The 24460-nt window shown below is 49.0% G+C and overlaps 1 long non-coding RNA gene across 1 annotated transcript in view, besides 1 other annotated feature; it reads right to left on the reverse strand.

The window, feature by feature from the left end:
- Positions 1-496: 496 nt before the first annotated feature.
- The window catches only part of VSTM2B-DT (VSTM2B divergent transcript), a 238742-nt gene continuing 214778 nt past the window's right edge, over positions 497-24460 (reverse strand). The window contains exon 10 of the long non-coding RNA NR_040029.2: positions 497-1050. This is a non-coding gene — a long non-coding RNA (VSTM2B divergent transcript). The remainder of the gene's footprint in view (positions 1051-24460) is intronic.
- Positions 22271-23101: an enhancer, noted in NCBI's record as "H3K4me1 hESC enhancer chr19:29799690-29800520 (GRCh37/hg19 assembly coordinates)". NCBI's record gives its function as "activates a minimal SCP1, AML or CMV promoter by ChIP-STARR-seq in primed H9 embryonic stem cells {active_cell/tissue: H9 hESC(primed)}" and the evidence as "EXISTENCE:reporter gene assay evidence [ECO:0000049][PMID:30033119]".

The following is a 24460-nucleotide window of genomic DNA, read 5'->3' on the forward strand; positions in this document are numbered from 1 at the left end:
GCAGCATTCTCTCGATTTACTGAACCACAAAACTAGAATTGCTGGATTAGGCAAATAAAAACACAAATAACATTTTGAGTTTCAGGTAAATGATATTTTATGTAAGTACACCGCAAATATTGCATGGATATACTTGTACTTCAAGATTATGGTTTATCTGAAATGGAAATTTCACTGGGTGTCTTGAGTTTTAACTGGCAGCCCTACTGAGGTGGCTTATTCATCATATAGACTCTGGGCATCATTTTCATAAGTGTGCGGTAGAAGCTCAGGAAACTGAATTTGTGAGAAAGGCCTCAAATAGGCAGGTATGATTTGTCTAAGGGTCATGAAATGGGAGAGCAGTGTGTGTGTGTGTGTGTGTGTGTGTGTGCACACGTGCACATGTGCGTGAATTGGGGCCGGGAGCGGGTGGTGTTTGGGTTAAAAGGCTTCCCAGAAATCCCGAACTCTGATCCATATCTTCCGGCTACTTTAAAATGACTGAAACCTCAGGTTCCTTTTTCAGTGCTTTATTCCACACAAACTCATCTTTTAGGAGGCTATTTGACAGTGCTTAACTGCGACCCACATTGTACATGCTCATAACAAAGACAAGTCCCCATCTACCATGCTGTAACTTAGAAAGGCACAAGTTATACAACATCTGGAATCTACCCAAGGGAAAAAAAATGCCAGTCTACAAATCTAGCATGCTGGAGGCAGAAACCATGTGCTCAGAATCATTAAAATCACATTTCACTTTGCCACAGTGCAGCTCTGTCCCTGGCTGATGGCCAGATAAGCTTGCTGGCAGAGATCTGCTCTTGTGGTGCTGAGCGAAAGGTCCACACACCTCTCGGTTAATACCTGCCCAGGCTTAATACCTAATCACCATCCTCGGATTGCCTCTCAACACTCATTACCAGCACTCAGCAGTTGCAGCCAAGGTGATGGGATTTAAGATTAGGACAAAAGAGTAGTCACTTTTGTTCTCAAGTGCAGGTCTCCTCAGAACATCATCGTTCAGCAAATTCGGGAGACAGCATTTCCACTTTCTACTGAAGCATCCTGTAAGAATCAGAAAAGCATGACACCGTTAAAGATAAACAAAATGGCCCTATTTGAGCAAGAGGGGCTCATGCTGTTTGGTCTTTGTTTTACGCCCATGATGAGTTTAACTGTTTGTTCATCTCCAGCACCCCAGCCTGAAACTCACCCCTTGACAAGCACCCTGCAAGCTACAGTGATTCTGAATCCCAGAAGTGATGGGCTGTCTTGGAGAATCCCAGGGGCTGTCCTGTGCTCCAGGCCTGTCTCAGGACTCCTTGGGTGGACGCAATCTCCTCTAGTCCCCTCTAAAGACTTCTTCATCATTACGATGGTGAGTGTGGGCAAACCAGGTGGGATAGTTTCCCCTGTCGGCCTACCAGATTAGTTGCTTCCCAGGAGGCAGGTAGAAAGGGAAGGAGGGAGGAGAGTGGGAGGAGCCAAGGAGAAAGGAAAGAGAGGGAGGACAAGAAGAAAGCAAGAGAGAGAGCTCTTAGGGAAAGCAGGGAAACAGTGACGAAGGGAAGACCAGCTGTACCATATTAGGTAAGTGATCATTTAAAGTCATTATCAACTTACTGTGAATTTCAGATGGAGTTTCTGGAAGCTACAGTCTTATTTCCTGTTAGGAATTCATTCATGTAACAAATGTTCTATGGGCCGGGACACTGTGCTTGGGGATGCAGATACACCCCTGAATGTAGCCATTTGCATTTTAATAAGGCAAAGCAAACAATGGACAAGTACACTCACAGATAAGACAATTTCAGACAATGGTCATGCTGGAAGGAAATGGCATGGTCATGGGATAGAGAGCCAGAAGCAGGAGGAGATGTTAGACAGGGAGCAATGGACAGGGAGGAGATTTAGAAGGGGCCTCAAGGAGAGAGCGCAGTGAGAGAAGGAGCCCCCTGTGTGTGGACCTGGGAACCAACTGGCTTGGCGGGTGGTGCCATGCCACAGAGGTCAACGTGGCTGGAGTGCTGAGCAAGGGGACAAGTTGCAGGGCAGGAGTCTAAGGGCATGCAGACTGGCAGGTGCTGATAAGGAGTTGGATTGCATTAATTCAGGACTGTAGGAAAAATGCCTCTGTGATCAGACAAATGGTCAACGTCTCTTGACAGGAAAACATTGGCTGTGACGTGGGTTGTGCAATGAAGCTTCCAACCCAGGATCTGTTTCTGAATGGCTGTCATGGAGCAGAGAGCAGAGGCTCTGCATGGCCCCAACACTTGTCCCTCCTCCAAGCTCCGACATTAAGAAACATGCCTGCTTCCTCGTGGAGGAGGGAAGCCTGGTCTAAGGTGTGTGCTACAGGAGAGGAAATTCACACCTTCAGTTGCCTAGGTGACAGCTTCCAAAGTATGTTGCGGGTCTAACTGGCAGCCTGGCAAGGCCTCTGAGATGGGAAAAAGGGAGCCCCTTTCCATTGGAGTCACCATGATTGGACCAAATTCTGGTCCTCAGCTCAGGGGCCCTTGTTTCTGGTGAAATCTTTCAGCTATATGCCACCAGACCCCAAATATGTGTCTCTCCCAGGGCTAACCCTGGAGGCTGAAAGAAACCAGAATACTCACCCAGCACGGTGACTCATGCCTGTCATCCCAGCACTTTGGGAGGCTGAGGGAGGAGGATCACTTGAGCCCAAAAGTTGGAGGCCAGCCTGGGCAACATAGCAAGACCCCATCTCTCCAAAATTTTTGAAAATGGCTGGGCATGGTAGCATGTAGCTGTAGTCCCAGCTACTTGAGAGGGTGAGACAAGAGGATCACTTGCCTCTCAACCCGGGAGGTTGAGGCTGTAGGGAACTATTATTGCATCACTGCACTCTAGCCTGGGCAACCCTGTCTCTAAAACAATAACAACAACAACAACAAAACAAAAAACAACCAAAACACTATTGTCTAGTGTCCAGGACACTAGGGCCCAGGATGTGGCACAGAGCATGAGAGCCATCTGCAGCAGCACCTGTGCCCAGCTGCTCATGGGAAGCCATGTGGGGTAGGAGGCTGACGGACAGCCCAGGGCAGGGCCAAGGCACTGAAACCTCATACATTCTAGTCAGTCCCAAACGAGCAAGAACCTTCAGCCCAGGTGAGTTTGTGTCTCGGTGGATATACAGTGTCTCTACCCATGAGCAGTACTTAAATGCCTGCACATCCATGTCACCCACTTCATCTTCTATCAGTCACTACAAGCACCATCTCCTCCAAGAAAATATGTTCTGATGGAGGAAACACTGGATGTGGAGTCAGTGGCCTGGGACTGCCTAGAAGCTTCACTGAGTACTGGCTGTGTAACCTCAGACAAACCACTCACCCCCTCTGAGTCTCATTTTCCCCACTTATACATTGAGTCTAGCAATGCACACCTCCCAGGACTGGGTATAAGGATTAGAGTCGACGAATGCAGGGTACGCAGTGGCTGATATTTGCTAAGGAACTGCGATGTTCTGATTCAATGTGGTGGCCAGATCTGGAGATCCTGAGACCATCTAGTCATGGTTGCTCTAGGGTGTGAGAGATGAAATTCAGGGAAGGTAGAGGAAGGTTCCCAGATGTGACAGCTTCTGCAGGGAGTGGGATTGCCATGGGAATCTCCAGAGACTGGACAAAGAGGAGCTTCACTGTTTTAAAGGCATCAGATGGACAGATGCAGAGCCACTTTCCTGGTAGGATTTATGACTCCAGCAGGCCCCCGGCTCCAACAGACAGCTCATTCTGGAGGAAATTAGGTGTCAAATGCAGTGTTCTGGAATTCTTAGGGCACCCATTGGCAGAGTTTTACAGCCATTCTGGCTCTAGGCCTTCGTCAACTTGTCAAAACATTGACTTTCCTCTGCAGCTCCTAACCAGGCAAGCACCAGGCAATAGCAATGAGTAATGCAGCTCTTAACACCTCAGTCTGAAAAGATGAGACACCTCAGACCCTGGTTCTTCTGGAGTTTGGGGCAGTTATATGACACTGAAGTCATTTGCTCCTTGTCACACGGGGAGGACTTTCTGGCTTTTCAGGCTGGCAAAAGACTTTCCCCAGGTGAGTAGAGCTTTCTGGAGTTGAGACATCTAACATCACATCCCAGATGAGAAAGAGCAGATCCATCCCACTGGCCACTTGCCCCCACAAAAATGGGGGTAAGGAAGGCAGAGGATTGTCAGCAAAGCTCTGAAGAGCGGCTCTGCACCAACAGGCAGCCGGCAGGCCCCAGCCTGGTCCCACGACTTGTCACTGAAGATACTAAACCCGCAGCCGCTGAATTCCTGTCCTAGTTAGGGTGTCTCTTAAAGCAGACCCTGAACAATGACTTGGGTGCAAGTAGTTGATTTGAGAGGTGACCTCAGGGAACAGGAGCAACGGAGCAGGAGGAAGCCAGTGACAGGGTGCAGCCCTGTGGGAAATGGGGGCCCAATCTGCAGGGCCAACGCAGTGTTGTGAAATTCTTCGAGCAGTCTCTGGAGAGCAGGGGAGCATGGAGCTCAGAACTGCCCCTCTGAAGGACTAGAGATTGGGCGTGGATCCCCACAGCATCCCCTGCTGGTAGAGGGTTCATCCTTGAGTGTGTTAACCCTTCTGCTCTTCCAGACTGTGCCTCTGCATGGCTGATTAGACTCCCACAGCTCAAAGAAAGCTCCGAATCAAAAAAGCAGAGGTTGCAGGCTGCCTGCCAGAAGTGAGACCCTGGTGATGGGCCTGGCACTGCTCACTGCAGTGCTGATGTCAGGAGGGCCCAGGATGTGGCACAGAGCATGAGAGCCATCTGCAGCAGCACCTGTGCCCAGCAGTGTGCTAAGCACCAAATGAGAGCAGAAGTCATTGTGAAAAACAGTGCCCAGCCTCAATGACTCCTAGGAAAGTTTGGAATAGACAAGTGACCCCCGGGGCCCCAGCCCAGAAGCCTAAGTTAGAATTGAGTAACAAGAAGAAAAGATGCTGTTATTTAAAACAAAATTTGACTGCAGTGGCTGCAGCACTCTCAGGCAGAGGCCAAGTTCTTCGTAGGGGTAGGTGGCCTTTTTGTTTAGAAACATACTTCAGAGGATCTCTTTGTGTGTGTGAAAATATAGGCCCCAGGGCACAGTGGGAAGGAGAAAGGCAGAGCGCTCTGCTCTGTAGTGATTGGAGTTTTTGTCTTGTTTGTTTGGAGGGGGCTTGTGATGCGAAGAAGAAAATTGACGGAGCTTGGGACACAAAGGTCAACTGGCAGGAGTGGATTGGACCTTGGAAGGAAGGCAGTCAGGAGTTACTCCCTGTAGAGGGATGGTCAGGGGGCCACAAGGCAAGGATTGCTCACAAAACAGCCACATCAAGTCGGTGCATTCTGTGATATGCTGATATTAACTATCTGGTGTCCCTGACCCTTCGGTATGAAACATCTTAGCCTCTCATTAGTTATGCTTTGGGAAACAAAGAAAGAGGAACATTGGGGGTGAATTAAGATAGAGAGAAGAGAGCAGCCATGGAAAGAGAGTGGGGGACAAGAACTCAGCAGGGCAGATGCAGGTAGGTGAGCTCCAAAACTGGGTCTCAGCCCAGGAGGACTCTTGGCTTCACCCAGGAAAGCATTCAAGGGTGAGCTGGTGGTATCAGACACGTTTTATGGAAGCTGCAGTGCACAGCAGCAGTAGAAGGACTGCTCCTTGCAGAGCAGGGATACCCCACAGGCAGTGGGCCCAGAGTAGCAGTTCAGAGGCAGTGCTGCACTCATATTTATACCCACTTTTAATGACATGCAAATTAAGGGGAGGGTTATGCAGAAATTTCTAAGAAAAGGGTGGTAACTCCCAGGTGTTGCCATGGCAATGGTAACTGACATGGTACACTGGTGGGTGTGTCTTACGGGAAGCTGCTTCTGCCTTGTACCTGTTTTAGCTAGTCCGCAATTTGGTCCGGTGTCTGAGCCCTGCCTCCAAAGTCAAGTCCCGCCTCCTATCTCAGGGCTGAGTATCCAGGGATATGTGCTCCCTTAGGAATCCTCGGAGAAGTTGAGAAGACACTAGACATCTCACAGCATGCAGAGTAGGGGCTTGAGTCTGCATATTTGAAGTTGGAGGAAAGTGTGGCCCCCTTAAGCCTGAAGAACACAGGACTCTGGGCTGTAATTCAGATCTATTTGGTACCCAGTTATCACTACCAAAAACGCAGCTCAGCCGGGTCCCATGCCAGAGAGGGAAGCCCAGGGATGACAAATGTGGCCCCTGCCCTCGGATTATGCCAATGTCCTAGGGCGTTCCAGTTGTCAGCAACCAACCTGGCTAAGCAATGCCTGAGATGGCCTGGTGGGAGGCTCCATAAGCTGACCAGAGACATCCTGGAAGACCCCCAGGAGAAGGGACATCAGAACATCAGCTTGAATGATGAGAAAAAAATAGCAATAGGTAGAAAGCGAGAGAGAAGAAACTGTGGGCAAAGAAAAGAGAAGAGTTTCTGGAGGGAGAGACCCTCATGGGGTCTTCCCTAGGCCACCAGGAACACACAGGTGTCACCTTCTGTATCTGTCAGGGGTCTTGGGGAAACTGAGGCACACTCAGAGTCATTGAGAAGAGTTTAGTGAAGGGACTGCTCACATGGGATAGAGAGGACTAGAGGGATGCAGTAAACCCAAGGCCACGGCTGTGCACATCACTACTGCCTGACCCACAGGGGACAGTGCCACTGTGGAAGAGGCCACAGGAAGGAGCTGGGGATTTCAGAGAGGAGCCCAACCCCTGCCACTTTTAGCCTAGCAGGGAGGGAGCAGGGCAGATGAATATCCCGATCTCTTTCTTCCATCCAACCAGTCCCGCCCCCATTGACTAACCGAGCTGGAAACAGAGGTCACGGGAGCCTGGTCAGTGCAGCCCTGCAGACCTAGACCCACCTAGCGTGGGTGTGGAGAGGCTTCCGGAGAGCATCCTGTGTACTTGCTGACAAATCAGCCACCTGTCCCTTGCAAGCTGTCCAGCATGAGCTGGCCTCATGCGCTGAAGCTCAGCCCTGCTTTTAGAGAGGTGATCAGCAGAGTCGTAGATTCAGGAAAAACGTGTGGGCTGCGGCATGCCACCGTACCCTCCCTTTGCCTGATACCTACAGGAGTCTGTGTTACTCAGGAGGACTCAGGAATCTGGAGATTGTGCTCTTAGATGGAAAATTGGAACTAGGAGGAGAAAGTAAGTGTGATGTGCACAGATCCCAGGTGGCCTCGCATTTTAGAAGTAAATGGCAATATTTTCAAATCAACTGGACGTAATATTGGAAGCCAGCAGAGCAACTCTCCAGCTAGGAGTCTATGCTTGAGGACCTGGCATTGTCAGCAACCTGGGGGGCCACACTGCACCCACACGAGCACAAGGCTTACCTTCGGTCAGGGTCTCCCAGACGTTGCCCCTGGGGTGGTGATTTGTGGGCAGGTGATTTATCAAGACAGGAGAACCCAGTAGGGAAAAGAGGGCAGGAGAGGGGAAGAAGCCCTGCAAGATGCTATTTCAGGTAGGTCTCCAGCCTCAGCCAGACCCCATTGAGGGGGGGCGGGGTCTGGAATATCAGCTGCATCTCACAGTCTGCCCAGCTTTGAGTCAGAGGAACTGGTTTTTCACACCCCCACAGGATGAAGGGCAAGCTGCCAGGCACCCGAGGCTCCTTCATGCTTGCAGCTCAAGCCTCCAGGGGCCAAAGAGAAGTCCTCAGGAGGCTGTTGGTGCAGTCCACTTAGAGCAAAGCACATGGCCGCTGGAGGATGGGGGCACAGAGCTGGCAAGAGTGATCCACATGAACCTGGACAGGACCTTAACAGTGTCTGCTGAGGCCCTTGCCCCAGCTGGCCCTGAAGTCGAAGTCTGGTTTGCTCTGTTTTGTTGGTCTGTGCAGTGGAGAGGAAGGTGCCACCCCAGCTCTAGTTCTCCACGTCACTTAAGAGGTATGGGATTTCAGCAAGGACTGAACAATGCTGGGCCTCAGCTTTCTCCTTCATCCTGTGAAGACCTTCAATCTTATCTACCTTGGGGGATGATACTGTGGTTATCAAATGTCAGAGGACCTTGAAGGATGGAAAACACGTGTATGTGACTCATCAGGCTGTGCCATTGCAAGGTGATGCTGATGTCAGGATATTTTTGTCTGCAGGAGAATCCACTACTGTATGGAGCTTGTCCTGGAAAGCCATTGCACCCCACCCCACCACCCCCACCATCTCTCAGAAGAGGTCACAAAGAGCATTTTGTTACAACATAACCTTACTCAAGAAATCACTCAAAAAATGCACATAGGAACCACTGAAACATTTCCTGAATTTAAAAGAATGACTCAGCAGAGCATTCGTTTGTGATAGAACTGCTTCTTGAATTTCTCAAAACTGGTGATGTTCACAAAGGCCAAAATGTGTGAGCATTCTGCCAAAACCAGGCCAAAGTTTGCTGCTGTGCTTTGTATTTAAAAAGAATAAGAAAATGTATAGTTCAAAAAATAAAATTCTAAGCCCACCAACTGACTAAACAGATCCCCTCTTGGCCAAGGGGACCCCAGAGTAATCAGGAACATTGAGTTCTCGGCCATGATGGGATGGGGAGCATCAGACAAGTCTCGTTATTCCCTTCCCTTGCTAACCACCACTAGGCTTTCTTTCCTAAGGGCTAAACACAAACCTACCCTTCCAACACAGTCCACTGCTGTGATCAACCCACTGCTTGACGCTGCTCCTCGTTTTTGCCTGATAAGAGACCACTGACCATGGGGTGGCTCTGCCTAGTCCACGGAGGATGCACAGTGAGGGTTTTGGTGTCCTCTGCTTTACCTTTTGACATCAGAGGGCCAAAAGTTCTACCCTTGGGTCATGCTAAAACCACCATTTTTGGTACAGGGGGCCCATGAAGGGGCATGCAGCTCACTTGTGCATGTGCATGTTTCACCTCTCATAAATATTCATGACTCCTCCTGCAGCTTATTGAATATGTATATTCAGCCATCCAACTCAGCACAAATTCCTGTTCCCTTTGCCCCTCCCTGAAAGTGTCTGTTTCTGGCTTCTCATCAGAGGCTACGCTTCCCAGCCGGTCAGAGTGGCCACCCTGCAGGGTGCAACCCTTTATGAAAAACAAAGTTCTTCTTTCCAAAAGGAAAAAATAAAGAAAGAAAATTTGTAGTTTAACAAAGACAATTAGATAAAGTTAACCCACTGGAGATCCCCGTCCTGCAGGCCTTGGTGCTGATTGATCTCCTGCCCAGGACATGGCCACACGGGGGCTAGTGGGTTGGTGACCTGAGGAGCACTCCTGAGTGACCTCGGAGTTCAGGGCTGCCTCCAAGAATGGCTGGTGCATAAAGACTACTCAGACCAAAGCTGAGCACTCCAAAGTATGAATAATGAAGGACATTTGCTGGCTCAGTGGTGAGAACCTGGGGTGTTTAGGCTGTCACTGCCAATAGTCCACTATTGGCTGGGATCAGAAGAGCAGAAGGCCACCATTTTACTGATGGGACCAAGTGAATCCCAGGGTCTGGTGCAACCTGGAGTGGAAGGTGCAGAGATGGGCAGCAGGTCCCCCCGATGCAACCCTTCTGCATGTTGACAACAATATAAAAAGGGAATACCTGCATTTCTATTTTGCTCTTCAGATTGGAGACCTGGTTGTATTACACTGCAGATTTACTCTAGCCAGTCCTCAGATATTGCCTACTACTTAAAGTGAATTGTTACCAAAATGTTCAGAGAAAACCTTAGATTAAGCGTATTGACTATGTTTCTTCTTTAAGTCATAGTTAAGGGCAATAACAACAACAGAGCAGCTGAGTAGATATTTTCTGCTCATCATTAATAATAACCCTTCGGCTGATGGATGGATGGCCCTCCCGGTGATGAAGAGCTGGCAGCACTCACTCTGTGGCGGGATCTGTTCCTGGGAGGGCCTGTAAGATATTTGATTTGAGAGATGCCTGGCTGCTGATGGATTAGGAGGGCCTGGTAGAAACACAGTGGCATGAACACCAGGACCATAAAAAGAGAAGAAGAGTACAATTATCTTGTATGTTCCCTTCCTTCTCTCACTCCCGGTAGAACCAGAGAAGGGCAAGCCGAGAAGCATGGAGGTCATTCCACCAGCCTGTGGACTCCTGGCCCATCCAGTCACTAAAGCTATGGAGGAGAAGGCAGAGAGACATGGACCTGGGGGAAAGAGGAGGCTCCCTGTACCTATCAGCTGTAGGGAAGAAGACTCTGCTCCACACAGTCACTTGGGATTGAAGCTGATGGAGGCTCCACCATCTCATAGCTACTTCATCTGGAACCAGCAGCCTCCTCAGCAGAAGGAGGGAGCAGGAAGGGTGTCCAGGGTGTTTTCACTCGATCAACCCGGAATGAGAGGTAGCACTTTGCTCACATTTCACTGGCCAGAATTAGGAATGTGACCTCATCTAACTGCAAGGGAACTGGGAAGCAATGTGCCCAGAACGAGTGGTCTGCACACATTGCCCTGCTTCCTTACCTTTCATTCAATCTTCAATTGCCCAGTCTAGGCTGTTCCCCACCACTTATACCAGCACAGCCTCCTGTTTCCAAACCCAGTGGTCATTCTCATGTTTCCCAATCTATGGGCAGCACTAACCCCAGCTACTGCCCCCACCTCGATCTAGCCTGGCCTCAGCTTCTGCAATACCTCATTCTGCTGGGCTTCCTTCCCTCTCTCTCTGCTCTGTGAGTTTCTCCTCACCCAACCTTCTCTAAATGTTGGTGTCTTCTCAGAACAGATCTTGGCCCTATTGTTTTTTCTCTGTATATTCTCTTGCTAAATAATTACATCAGTTCCATAGCTTTAAATGGCATCTATTTGCCAATACATCTTAAACACAGATCGCAGGGCAGAGTTCTATCCCTAGGAGACTCACACTTTTCTTCTCCACTGCTTGCTTGAGAGCCCACAGTGCATCATATAAGGAACTTGAGTCTCCCACACTTGAGTCAATCACGGCTTCTTGTCGTAATTGGAAATCTAGGAGTGGCACATCCTTGACAGCTCCCTTTTGCTCAGCCCTGAATATAAACCATCCATATGTCCTGTAGATTTAACCTCCAAAATACATCAAAGGAGGTCTGGAATCAACAAACCTCAGGCTGTCTCCACTGCCACTCGCTCAGTGCCAATCTTGTCCTGGGCGGCACTCGGGGTTCCCCCACTCGCTCCTTGTCAAGTCATTCTCCCAGCAGCACCAGATTTGTCTATAAAATGCAAACCAAATCATGGTACTTCCTGCTTCAGTCCCTGAGCTGGCTTCTCACTCCTCGGGAATCAAGTTCAAGTTCCCCTCCATGGCCCACATGACCATGCAACCCAGGCCCTCCTCGGCCTCATACATGCTACCCTCCCCTCCACAGTGTGTTCCAGCCACACAGAGCTCCTTGTCCTGCTCTGCACCACTTGCCCCCTTTCCACACCGAGGCCTTGTCACACTCAGTGCTGTATCGTTCACTAAAACGTCACCGCCTTGATGAGCTGGATGCACAGAGGCATTGAGGAGAAGTGCATCTGGCATCTCCCCAAAACAAAAGACATCACTGTATCAAAAGAATACCTGCCCTCATATGTTCTTCCCAGCACCATTCACAATAGCAAAGGCATGAAATCAGCCCGGGTGTCCACCAACCGAAGACGGGACGAAGAAAATGTAGTGCATATGCACCAAGGAATACTACTTGGCCATAAAGATGAATGAAATCATGTCTTCTGCAGCAATAAGGATGGAACTGGAGGCCATTCTCCTACGTGAAATAACTCAGACACAAAAAGATAAATACCACACGTTCTCACTTAACAGTGGGAGCTAAATAATGTGTACACATGGATGTAGAGTGTGGAATGATAGACTCTGGAGACACCCAAGGGTGGGGAGGATGGAGGGGGTGAGGCAGGAGAAGTTACTTCATGGGTACCACATACGTTAGTCCAGCAATGGCTACACTAAAGGCTCAGATGACACCACTACGTATTATATCCATGTAACAAAATTACACTTGTGCCTCATAAATGTATACAAGTTTGAATAAAGGACAACTGTGAGTGTCTTCTGCACAGTTTGCAAAGCACACGTTCCCAGCAGCATCTACCTTCCTACCCAGATAGGATCTCATCACATGGAGGTCCCATAGCCATCCTCTTGCACCCAAGGGTGGTGCAGTGGACCAGTGGCCCCTTGGCAGCCTTTCTGACATGAAAAGAGGGTCTCAGCTGCCCTCCTGTGATCCATCTGCCAAGTCACACAATGTCCCGTGGCCCTGATTCCTCCTAGGATGTGCCTGCCCTATGTTAGGTCCTGAACACGTGTTCTTGTTTCTTGGTTTGTCTCAGGACAGCAAGGACACTTGGCTGAGGAAGCCTGAATTTGAAAATTAGGGTTAAAAACAAATTTCACCTTTTGCTCAGCATTCTTCTCTTATGGACCCAAGGAAAACCTCTGTGTTGGTTAAACACTCTGTTTGTCAGCAGTGAGAAAACCTTTGGCATTTAGGGTGTATTTTGAGTGTATAAATCATGTGTTTACAGTGAAAGATGCCTGTAGCAGTTCCCGAGACATCCTGGGTTCCTCCCTGCACCTGCAGAAGTGCAGCAGAGGCCCCTGTGGTCACAGAAACACACCCACCTCCTGCCAGCCCACCTGCACACCTAATGCCAGTTCCCAGTGTCAGAGGAGGGCTTTTCAGAAACTCAGACCTGGACAGGTCATCAGGGGCTAGAGAGCCATTCCCAGGCCCTCAGGCCAGCTGGCGTGCCCAGGAGTCAGTCCCCAGGGGCAGCTCATCTCCAGAGCTAGAAAAGGTACTGTCAGCAGGCCACCTCTTCTCAGAGCTGAGCACAGATTACTCCTATTTTTCCTCCTGCACACGGAGAAGCAGAGAATGCCAGACCAGCCGGATCCCGAGTGCAGGGCACTGGGGGCAGAGCATCGCGGGGGTCCAGCCTCGGGGGTGTCAGTGCCTGCCAGCACCCAGCTCCTATCTTTCCATTCTTGGAAACAGTGGATGGTTTCCCTTTGGGACCCTGCTCTGCCCCATCCTCAGGCCCTGTGGTTTGGGTGTCTTGCCCCATGCCCCACCCCTACTCCCTTCCCACGGCCAGACGCACGCGCCATGACAGGCCATTGCAGCAACTCAGCCCACAGCCAGGAGCATGCAGGAGGCAGGCACTCTTGCTTGAGTGGGCAGAGGCTGCTCTGGGAGGGAATGGGAAGTGGAAACACTGTCGGAGTCTGTCCAGGAGGGAGCTGTTGGTGCTCCCCATGCAGAGGAAAGGAAGAGGTCTTGGCTCTTTCTTCTCTCTGTCAGCATGGAGAGCCAACAGAGAGAAGAAAGAGCCAAGAGATGGGGAGAGCCAAGCCCTGACACCAGTCTTGGTGTCCCAGGAGCCAGCAGTACCTGGCAGTAGCATCTCTGTGACATGTGCCAACACCTTCCTCCCTTGTGCTGGCCTCACGCTGAGGCAGACAGTTTGCCGGGAGATTCCAGGTGTGAGGCATTGGGCTTGGCTTTAAGAAAATTGCTCAGAGAGTGAGGCCTAGGGAAGGCGGGCAGGAGCTGGGGCCCAGGCCACAGGCATGTGTCCAAAGCCTCCACTCCTTGGCGGGGGCTGGGGTGTAACAGGCTGCTCAGTCCACCCCATCCTCTGGCCTTTAAACCATAGGCACAGACTACAGCAGCAAGTCTTTCAGCCGCTGAGCCCCCCAGCAAGTGGCACAGGCAGGGTTGTCCCTCCATCCTCTAGCACAATCTCCCTCCTCTCCCCGCAGCCCTAAATGCATGTTCTTTCCTCCACCCCTCTGCTTACACTGGACCCTTAGCCTGATGTGCTCTTCATTCCCTTTCCACCCCTTCCCCAGAATCTGCCATCCCTCCAGACCTGGCTGGAGTGCCTCCTCCTCCAAGAAGCCTTCCCTGACTAGCACAGCTCATGATTTGAGGCACTGGGTCACTGCAATCATCACCCAAAAGTGCACAGTCCACACCGGGTTAGATTCTGTCCTAAGCAACTTTAGGCTGGCTGCCCTCTCACCAGAGCCAGTGACCTCAGCTAGCAGCCAGCAACAGAGAGATTATTTAACGTTTTCAGGAGGAACCATTCTGGCCATTCAGGGAGAAGTCTTCAAGAAGACCTAGGACCATTCCCAGGACCTTTCCCATAAGATATATACTAACATGGACAGAATGCCATGTGCTAGAGGCAAGCAGAGTGAGTGAGGCAAGGAAGAGAGGAGAGACCTCAGGCTCCAGGGCCAGGCAGGCCTGAGTTTGAATCCTGGCTCTGCCGCCGGCTGCCTGTGTGGCCTGGTCTAGTCGCTTGAAATCTCTGAGCCCAGTTTCTCATCTGTGGAATGAGGATGATTGTGACTCTATCATAGGCTTAAGTGAGAAGCCATGGCTTGAACAGGGTGGATGCTGCGTAAATACTCCCTGTCGATTCCTGGGGGACAGTAGAGCACCGTGGTTGAAAGAATAACCTAAGCATCTCTGAATCTGCTCCATGCACCTCTCAGTTTTTTACACTGTGATCCCATTTAATCCTCACTGCAACCTTATAAAGTAGCAATGCATATAATCCCCAGTGTACAGTTGAGGAACCCGAGGTTTAGGGTCATACCCAAATTCAAACTCCTGAAGATGGCAGAGCCGTTTTCAACCCTTAGCCTACCCGTCCTCTACTTGGTGGCCCAGCATGGTCACAGGGCCACCCTGCAGTGGTGTGGTGCCTAAGAGCTCAGGAAAGAGTCAGACTGCTAGATCCCTAGCTCAGCTGTGACACTTGCTATTCGAATCCCCATCTCTCTGTGCCTCAGAGGTCTTCATTCTCTATCTGTAAACTGAAGATAAATACACTATGTTTTGTTGAATTCAACATGCCATCACTTGTCAAATGTGATATCATTTTAAATGCCACTAAAACAGAAAAAATGCCCAACATAACGTATTTAATAGAAGTTCTCCACATAAAGCCAGGACACAAAGGCCGAGGCCCCTGTGTATCAGTAAATGAGAAATATAAACCCACCATGTAAACAAAGTGACAAGGAAATTGGCATGTCTCAACCTAGGCGCCAAGTGAAGGGAGAAAATATTCTTCTTTGACCTGAGTACCAGTTTGATCCCAGAACTGGTACTCAGGCAGATTTGATGTCTGAGTTCACACGGACCAGTGTAGTCCGAAAAACCCAAAGTAGACAATTTCACTTTGACCTCATGTTGGTAGTAGCTCTGTGAAACAGAAGAAATAAACACAAATCCATTCTCTTGAAATTAGATCTCAGTTCAGGCCCACAGCGAGGCTAAGATGCTAAGGACTGTAAAACCCACGCCAGTAATTTCAGAAATTTGCAAAGATGGAAAAAACGTGTTGTATGATCATTGAGATATGGTAGCATCTAGCTATGAGCTACTGTAACCAAATACTCCCAAGTCTCAGCAGATTCACACAACCAACATTCATCTCTTTCTCAAGTAAAGTCCGAGTCCCTGAATAGTGGATGAGTCAGAGAACTGGGCTCTGTCCATCCTGTGGCCCCACAATTTTCAGCACACAACTTCCATGGTCTCCAAGGAAGGGAAAGGTGTAGGATTGTGTCTGGGAGGTTTCCACAGGCCAGGCATGGGTGTGAAATCTGTGACTTTTACCCACAATGGGTTGGGTAGAACACAGTCATATGGTCATGCCTGGGGGTGCTGGGAGCTGTGGGCTACACCTGTGCCTGGGAGGAAGCAGAAAGAATCTTGGTGGACAGGCAGACAACCCCGGCCACAACACCCCATGGGACCAGAGTGAAACTCTTGGAAAATAATTGTTAGCAGCAGTAGATTAAAATGGGGCCTGACACCACACAGAGACTCAGTCAATGAGTGCTCCAGCTATGATTAATAATGAGAACATCTTTCATTTGTCAAAGCGATGTATTTTTGAGGATGGTGCTCACTTAACAAAAGCAGCTTCTCCTGGTGTTTCCTAGTGACTTCCCATAGTGGATTTCAAATAGGGATTTGAATTTCAAAAAAGGTAATCTGTGTGCAGGAGGGCCTGGGTGGTAGGAGGCTAATATTCGCGTTCACAAATATTGCATTCTTTTAAACCAGTCATCCTCACATTCAGTTTCCACAGGAAAGCTTAAAAGTGTGAGTTCTAGAATTAGTCGGCCTGGCTTTGAACCACAGCTCTGTGGTTTACTAGCTCCATGACCTCGAGCTAAGCCCTTGGCTTCTCACTAAGCTTTGGTTTCTGCAGCGTGAACTAGTAATGAAACAACTGCCTCAGAGGCTGTTGTGAGAGTGAACACAGATAATGAAGGTAAAGCGCACAGCACAGAGAGGGCACACAGGGGCTCTCAGCGCGTGGGGTCATTGTTTTTCTTGTAATTTTTATTAATGCCCTGGAAGCCATTTTTCCTAAACCTCATGTTAGCAACCTTGGGTTTGAGCCATGTAAAGTCCTGTGCGCTCCCCTATGCCATCTCAGGTTTCAGAAACTCTACCTTCTGTGCGGACTGATTGTCTGAGCAAATGCTAGATGCTGGGTACATATGAAGCTCTCATGTGGACAGCCTTACCAACTGGTGGTCTGAACATTTATTTCCAATTTTAACAACCCTATTAATAGTTTTATCCTGCGAAACAACTCAAAGCATTATAGAAACTCTAGTGTAAAACCTCACATCACTCCCAGTTCCCACCGTCGGCTGAGCGGAGGCGTCGGTCACATCCATCCGGTTTCTTTTCTTAATGTCTAGCCAAGGCCCACAGAGATGAGCAAATGCCTCCGATTTATAACCAAATGTAAAGGGCAGCTCTGTCCTCTCTGCAATGCAAAACCAACAGCTCAATAGTTGGACAACCACACCTTTCCAATAGTGTCAAGAACGACTTCTGAACTCTGAAAATTCAGTGTTTGGTTTATGACTCCTTAAAATGTTTTACCCATAGCTCCTGGGACAGGAGCCAGAAACTCTGCCCCTGTAGAACCCAGCAGAGAAGAAGAGCTGAGGGCTGGTAGCTGACTCACAGCCAGCTTTCTGATGTGCATGGTCAGGGAGGAGGTGCTAGGGTCTCAGCCTTCCCTTGCCCCACACTTCAGCTGAGAACCTCTGAAGAGGCGAGGTGATGTCAGGAACTCAGCAGCACGCCCTTGCTCCTCCATTCCAGATGTAAGTCAACTCAGTCCCTCTGCAGGCAGCAAGCATTGGCTTTCTGTCAATATCCATTCATCCAAAGTGTCCCCCAAAACCACCCTCTTACCCCTAATCTCAGTGCCTTGTTGAGGATGGGGCTGATCCCACCCCTAGTTCTAGATCTAGGCTCAAACCACCATCAACTCCCACCTCTGCGAGGGCTGGTTAAGGGATGGACTCGGGACACATCAGAGACAAGCCATGCTAACCCCAGGACCTCGCTGGAGCAGCCGGGAGAGAGAGGACCTTGCTTTGTCCTCCTGGACAGAAGCGGGCTGTGTCTACCACACTCACCTCTGTTCTCTATCCAGGGCAGAAACTGAGAATGGCTCCCACACACAGGAAAGGAAATCCAGAGGTGGAGGAAGGGAGAAAAGGAGAGACAAGGAGAGGGAAATAAACCTGGTCCAGATGACAATTGAGCCTCTTATACAGATGAGCCTGAGGCCAGATAGACTTTGCAGTTTAGGGACCTGATATATTCCCTTGGAGGCACTGGTTAAGTTTTCTATCCTGTAGCCAGGAAGGAGTCTTGTGTGATGCCCCCATAGACTGTTTGCTTATTGCAATGGCTTTGCGCCTTCAGCTGTCCTGAACCCAAACCTACCCAAACTCCTACCCATCTCTATTCACACCACCCAAACCAGCTATGTTGTGAGCCTGGCATTGTGCAAAGTCTGGAGGATGCAGAGCTCCCATCCCTCCACTTTAAGAGATGTCAGTACAGCAGTGCAGTGCAGGAAAGGCAGAGCTAGAGCTGCGCACAGGGGTCCAAGAAGGCTTCCTAGAGGAGGTGACACTGATTTCCACTGAAGGACACATGGGAGTTTGGGAGGTGGGAGTGAGGAGAGTCATGGGCCAGAGGCACATAGAGGACACACAGCCCACAGAGGACCCCTTTCCTCACTCCTATGGACCCTCGTGCCTGGTTTCCTCCTTGTTTTCTGAAGTCAACCTGGTCTCCCCAGATATTTTCTTCAAGTTTCCTAAAGTTAGCTGCAGTGTGGTATATTTCAGAGACAGGAAAGGTGGCCACGTGCACAAGTGGCATCCAAGCTCCAGCCTCTCCCAAACTCCATGGGTGCCAGGTCTGAGAGCTGGGAGTTCAGGCCCCATGAGGGACTATGCCTCTCCTGCCTGCATCATGGTTCTCTTCCTTTTTGCTAATTTCAGAAATCCACAACATAATGGAATAAACATCTATGTGCCCGGCATCCATGATTAGCAAATGAAAATACGTTCTTAATTGTGCCGAAATTCATTTTTCATAAAAGAAACAGAATTTCACAGATTTAATTGAAATGCCTCTCCCCACAAACATTCTTATATTTTCATAAATATTTTAATTTTCTTTTGGTGAAGAGATATATCTAGTCCCAACTTTATACAGACTGATGGATAGATAGGTAGATTGAAATGACTGATGATAAAGATAGATAGATTGATTGAATTACTGATGATAAAGATAGAATAGACAGAAAGATGATAGATAGATAAAAATAGATAGATTAGATAGAATAAACAGACAGAAAGTGATAGATAAAAAATACATAAATATATATAGATGGATAATAGATAAATAGAAAGGACAGATAAACAGAAAGATGATAGATAAAAAGATAGATGCATAGATAGATGATAGATAAATAGATAGATAAATAGACAATAGATAAATAGAAAGGATAGATAAACAGAAAGATGATAATTAGATAAAAGATAGGTGGATGGATAGATGGGTGATAGATAGAAAGGATAAACAGGCAGAAAGATGATAGATAAAAAAGATAGATGATAGATGATAGATAAATAGAAAGGATAGATAAACGGACAGAAAGATGATAGATAAAAAGATAGATAAATAGATAGATAGAAAGGATAAACAGGCAGAAAGATGATAGTTAGATAAAAAGATATAGATAGATACAGACAGAAAGAAAGATTAGATTGATGAAAAGATAATAGAAAGATTGATAGATAAACAGAAAGACAGATGATAGATAAGGTGAATAGAAAGAGATAGGACAGATACACAGATAGAGAGATAGATTAGTCATAGATATAGATATACAACAGACACATTGCTTTGTGAGTTGTAATTTACATAAATGCCATCACAGCTTATTTCTCAACTTGCTTCTTCCATCAGCATTAATTTTTCGAGATAGATCCATGTTGCCATAACTGCTGCGTAGTAGTCCAATACCTGACTATATTGGAATTTATGAGTCCAGTCTCATGCTCAGGGCTATTTGGTCGTTTCTTATTCTTCATACCACTAACAACGCTGCTGGCAATGCCCTTGTGCACATCTCTGAGAAATGCTCTGGGGCACGTGATAAAAACACAGGTCTGGGTCACAGACCATGCACATCTTTGATTTTATCTCATGTTGCCATAAGGAGAGCAGTGACCATGCTCATTCACTCTCCTGCCAGCTGAGCGTGAGTTTTCCAGCTGCTTCACTTCCCAACACTCAGGATAAACCATCTGACTTTCTGAGTTTTGTCAGTTGGGTACCTGTGAAGCAGGTTAGCACCTTTGTTTGACTTTATAAGCATTTTTCATTTATTTTTGTTCATTGATGGTCTCTCTTCTCTGAAACTCCTGGTCTTCACCTTTTCTCCATTTGGTTTATTTGTCCTTTGCCAAGAAAATTCACATGTAGGACTTCTTGACATGTTCTGGGCACCGCTTCCTCACCTGTCTTCTTCCACTCTGGCCTTATTTGTTAACTTGGTTTATGATGTCTCTTGCAAGGTAGATCGTGTGTGTGTGTGTGTGTGTGTGTGTGTGTGTGTGTGTGTGTGTGTGCTTGTATGCATGTAGTAGTCATCACAGAACCATCTTTTCCTTTATGAGCTGTGTTTTGTGCCTTGTCTAAGAAGTCTTTCTCTACCCCAAGATGATAAAGACGTGATTATCAATGACCTTTTCAAGGTTATAAAGTTCTGCTTTTCAGATTTAGATCTTGTATCCATGTGGAAATTTGTTTCTTTACAGGATGAGGTTAGCAACTGATTTTAATTTTCTTCCCATAGGAAAACTAATATTTGAGTCTCCTAGTGTGTACTACCATCTCCATCCATCACCAAGTTCCCATAAATGTGTGGGTCTACGTGTAGGCCAGTGCTTAGCAGACATTTTTGTTAAAAGTCAAATAGTAAAATTTTGGGCTTTGCCAGCCACATAGTCTCAATCACAAAGACTCAACTCTGCTGGTGCAGGGGCAAGCAGCTCATAAGGGAATGAGGACAGCCATCTCATCTGTTCTGCTAATATATTTATCTTCAAGGCAATGCCAAACTTTTAACACTTATTATGACTTCCTAATATGGCTTGATATCTGATAGAGGAAATACCAACCCTTTCTCTTCCTTTTTTAGAATTATCATAACTAATCTTGGCCTTAAGTCTTCCACGTAAATTTTAGAATGATTCTGACAAATTCCACAATTTTATTTTTTTTGAGACAGAGCCTCGCTGTTTTGCCCAGGCTGGAGTGCAGTGGCACGATCTCAGCTCACTGCAACCTCCACCTCCTGGGTTCAAGCAATTCTTGTGCCTCAGCCTCCTGAGTAGCTGGGATTACAGATGCACACCACCACACCCAGCTAATTTGGGTATTTTTAGTAGAGACGGGGTTTCACCATGTTGGCCAGGCTGGTCTCAAACTCCTGAACTCAGGTGATCCACCCACCTCAGCCTCCCAAAGTGCTGGGATTACAGGCATGAGCCGCCATGCCCGGCAATTCCACAGAATTTTGTATTGGGTTTTTAAAATGGAATTGCATTGAATTTTTAGGTTAATTGGGAGTGGGGGGAACACATAATTATAATATGTGTTCACATCATCAACATGTTTGTTTGGTTTATCCTAAGGACACATACACAGGGCCCCTCTACCTGGTGTCTGATTCACATGGTGACACCACCTTTCCCATCACCTATACCAGAAAGCTGCCAGTTTCATCCCCACCTTCCCTCTTCTTCCTCCTACGCAGCCAGGTACAGCATTGCCTTTCCCCTCTTTCTGGGGTCTCCTCTGTCTCTCTCATCATTGCTGGCCTCAGGGGTCTCCCTCCCTCCAATCTTCTTCCTCCCATTTCATCTCCATGGCGCACCAAAGAGCCCTCTCTTGTCACCCACGTACCATTTGGCTGAAGCAGAGCTCAATATCCTTAGCACAACTTGCCAGACCTTGTTTGGCTCCTAACCTACTTCTACCCCTCACCACCTGACCCGCTGCCCCCTCAAGGCACCTGACGCCCCAGCTGCACAGACACTGGCAGCTCCTCCCATTCCCATCCTTCCTCAAGCCTCAGTGCCCCCCACCCAGAGCACCCCCCATTTTTACCCAGCCACTTTCTTTCTTTTATTTTTTAAGGAGTCTTGCTCTGTCGCCCAGGCTGGAGTGCAGTGGAATGAGCTTGGCTAGCTGCAACCTCCGCCTCCCAGGTTCAACTGATTCTCTTGTCTCAGCCTTCTGAGTAGCTGGGACTACAGGCACCCACCACCGCACCTGGCTGATTTTTGTATATTTTTTTAGTAGAGACAGGGTTTCACCATGTTGGCCAGGCTAGTCTCAAACTCCTGACCTCAAATGATCTGCCTGCCTGGGCCTCCCAAAGTGCTGGGGTTACAGGTGTGGGCCACCATGCCTGCTCTACTCAGCCACTTTCTATTCAAGACCCAGCTGGGCCATCTCTGGCTCTGGGGCTCACGCCTCACTGCCACTGTTCCCAGTGCCACTGACCTCAGTCACTGCACATGTCACTTGGAAGAGGCTGGCTCCACGAGGATGGGGCACCCCAGGACCTGGCATGTGGAAGGCACTATCAGTATGGGTTCCTTAAAGGAGTGAAAGAGCAGATGTTGTGCACAGTCAGGAACAGAAATGGGGCAGAGAGAGGCAGGTATCCTCATCTCAAATACACGCTTCTCACAGGGACAGGGCTGAGGGCACAGAGAGGCAGGTGTCCTCATCTCAGGTACAAACCCTTCTCTCAAGGAGGGGTCAGAGAGTGCAGAGAGGCAGGTGTCCTCATCTTAGATACACACACTTCTCCCAGGAAGGGGCTGAAGGCACAGAGAGGTATGTGTCCTCCTCTCAGATACATGCTTCCCCCAGGGAGGGGGCTGAGAATGCAGAGAGGCATGTGTCCTCCTCTCAGATACATGCTTCTCCTAGGGAGGGGGCTGAGAGTGAAGAGAGGCAGGTGTCCTCATCTTCGGTGCACATGCTTCTCCCTGGGAGGGGCTGAGGGCTCAGAGAGGCAAGTGTCCTCATCTCAGATACACACGCTTCTCCCAGGGACGGGCTGAGGGCACAAAGAGGCAGGTGTCCTGGTCTCAAGTATACACACTTCTCCCAGGGAGGGGCTGAGGGCGCAGAAAGGCAGGTGTCCTCATCTCAAGTACATGTTTCTCCCAGAGAGGGACTGAGGGCACAGAGAGGCAGGTGTCCTGGTCTCAAGTACACACGCTTCTCCCAGGGAGGGGCTGAGGGCACAGAGAGGCAGGTGTCCTCATCTCAGGTACACGCGCTTCTCCCAGGGAGGGGCTGAGGGAGGAGCCAGCCCCACCATCTCTGTGCCTTGCTGACCCCCAGCGTCCTGCCCTGAATGAGCAGGCTGGAGCTGACAGGGCTGAAGGGGATGTCTGCCTGCGGGAGCAGAAGGCATGCATAAAAATGCAAATGCCAGGCTCCTTTCCTCCCTGCGCTCTGCTCGTTTATCCCTCTCAGACAGATAAAAAGGAAACTGTGCCACTGAGGACAGAGCCCCTCTGGGTAAAAAAGCAATAGCAAAGTGACAAATGTCATGTGGGTTTAAGCTAAGTCCCCCATCGTTACAAACCCACAGGGAAATAAGCCTGACAAATGCGCAGCCCCGCTCGCTGCACCCTCTTCCTTTGAAATAACTTGAGCCCTGAAAAGGGAGAAAGAAGGAAATAACTCAAAAATGTTAAAAGCAAAGTTTCTGTCTGCAAACCAAATGGGCTGAATTTTTATAGGCTCGTTTGGAAGAGCATGAAAAATCCAGTTGTCAGAGGAGCCTCTCTCTGCCAGACAGCCTCGGGGAGAGACACAAAGGGACTACCTAAAACCTAAGCTGCTCTGCTCCCCTGCTCCCATCCCAGGGCTCAGCCCGCTCTCCCCAGCCCCTACCCTTGTCCTGAGGGCTGCTGAGCCAAAAGGGAGGGCTCCTGTGCAGGGCCAAGGTGACCTGGAGCCGCTCTGATCCCAGGCTCGCGGAGGGCACTGTGGAGGACCGTGCAGGAAGACAGGTTGCTCCTGCCAGTTCAATGCACTAAGACCACACGGCTCCCCTCCGCACAGCCCTCGCTGAGTGCCAGGCACTGCTCTAAGCCCTTGGCATGTCCTTTCTCCTTCAATCCTCACAGCAACTCTATGAGGGAGGCATTATGATTATCCCACTTCCCAGATATGGAAACTGAGGCAGGGAAAGGTTCAGGTGCGCAAATGGAAGTGGAGGATTTGAACAAACACAGGCTCTAAAGCTCCCTGCCACAGATGCTGGCAGGGTCCCACCCGGTGCTCCTCTTTACTGGACAGTCCACAGCACAGCACAACTGCTAACAGATCACAGCTACCCCTTCCGAGAGAATCCACTTTATCCAGAGATGCCTGGGAGATCGGGACCACACGCCAGGGGGCTTACAGCCAAGCACTGACTGACTGGTATACAAAAGCCCCACCCCTGCACCTCAAAGGGAAGAGAACGCTGGTGCTGTCCCCTCCCGAGTCCCCATCTTAGCCTGGCCTTCTTTCCCCACAGGCTTCTCCTGAGAGCACACCCTCGACAAAACACTTGCACAAGAGTCCATATCACAGGCCCTGTTTCTCCAGAACCTGGTTACACACCAGCCCACAGACTTAAATTAGTCCATACATTCTTTTTTCTCTCTGTCCCTTAAGAGATAGGGTTTTGCTCTGTTGCCCAGGCAGGAGTGCAGTGGTGCAATCTCAGCTCACTGTAGCCTTGAACTTCTGGGCTCAAGCAATCCTCCCACGGCAGCCTCCCAAGTAGCTGGGACCACAGGCGTGCCCCACAATGCCCAGATCATTTTTTTATTTTTATTTTTACTTTGTAGCAGAGATGGGTCTCACTGTGTTGTCCAGGCTGGTCTCAAACTCCCGGCCTCAGGTGATTCTTCTTCCTCAGCCTCCCAAAGTGCTGGAAGTACAGGTGTGAGCCACCTTGCGCAGCCCATACATTCCCATCTAAAGTGCTAAATGCTGTGCCTGGCA

This window comes from Homo sapiens, chromosome 19 (assembly GCF_000001405.40).
Source record: "Homo sapiens chromosome 19, GRCh38.p14 Primary Assembly".
NCBI classification, from domain to species: Eukaryota; Metazoa; Chordata; class Mammalia; order Primates; family Hominidae; genus Homo; species Homo sapiens.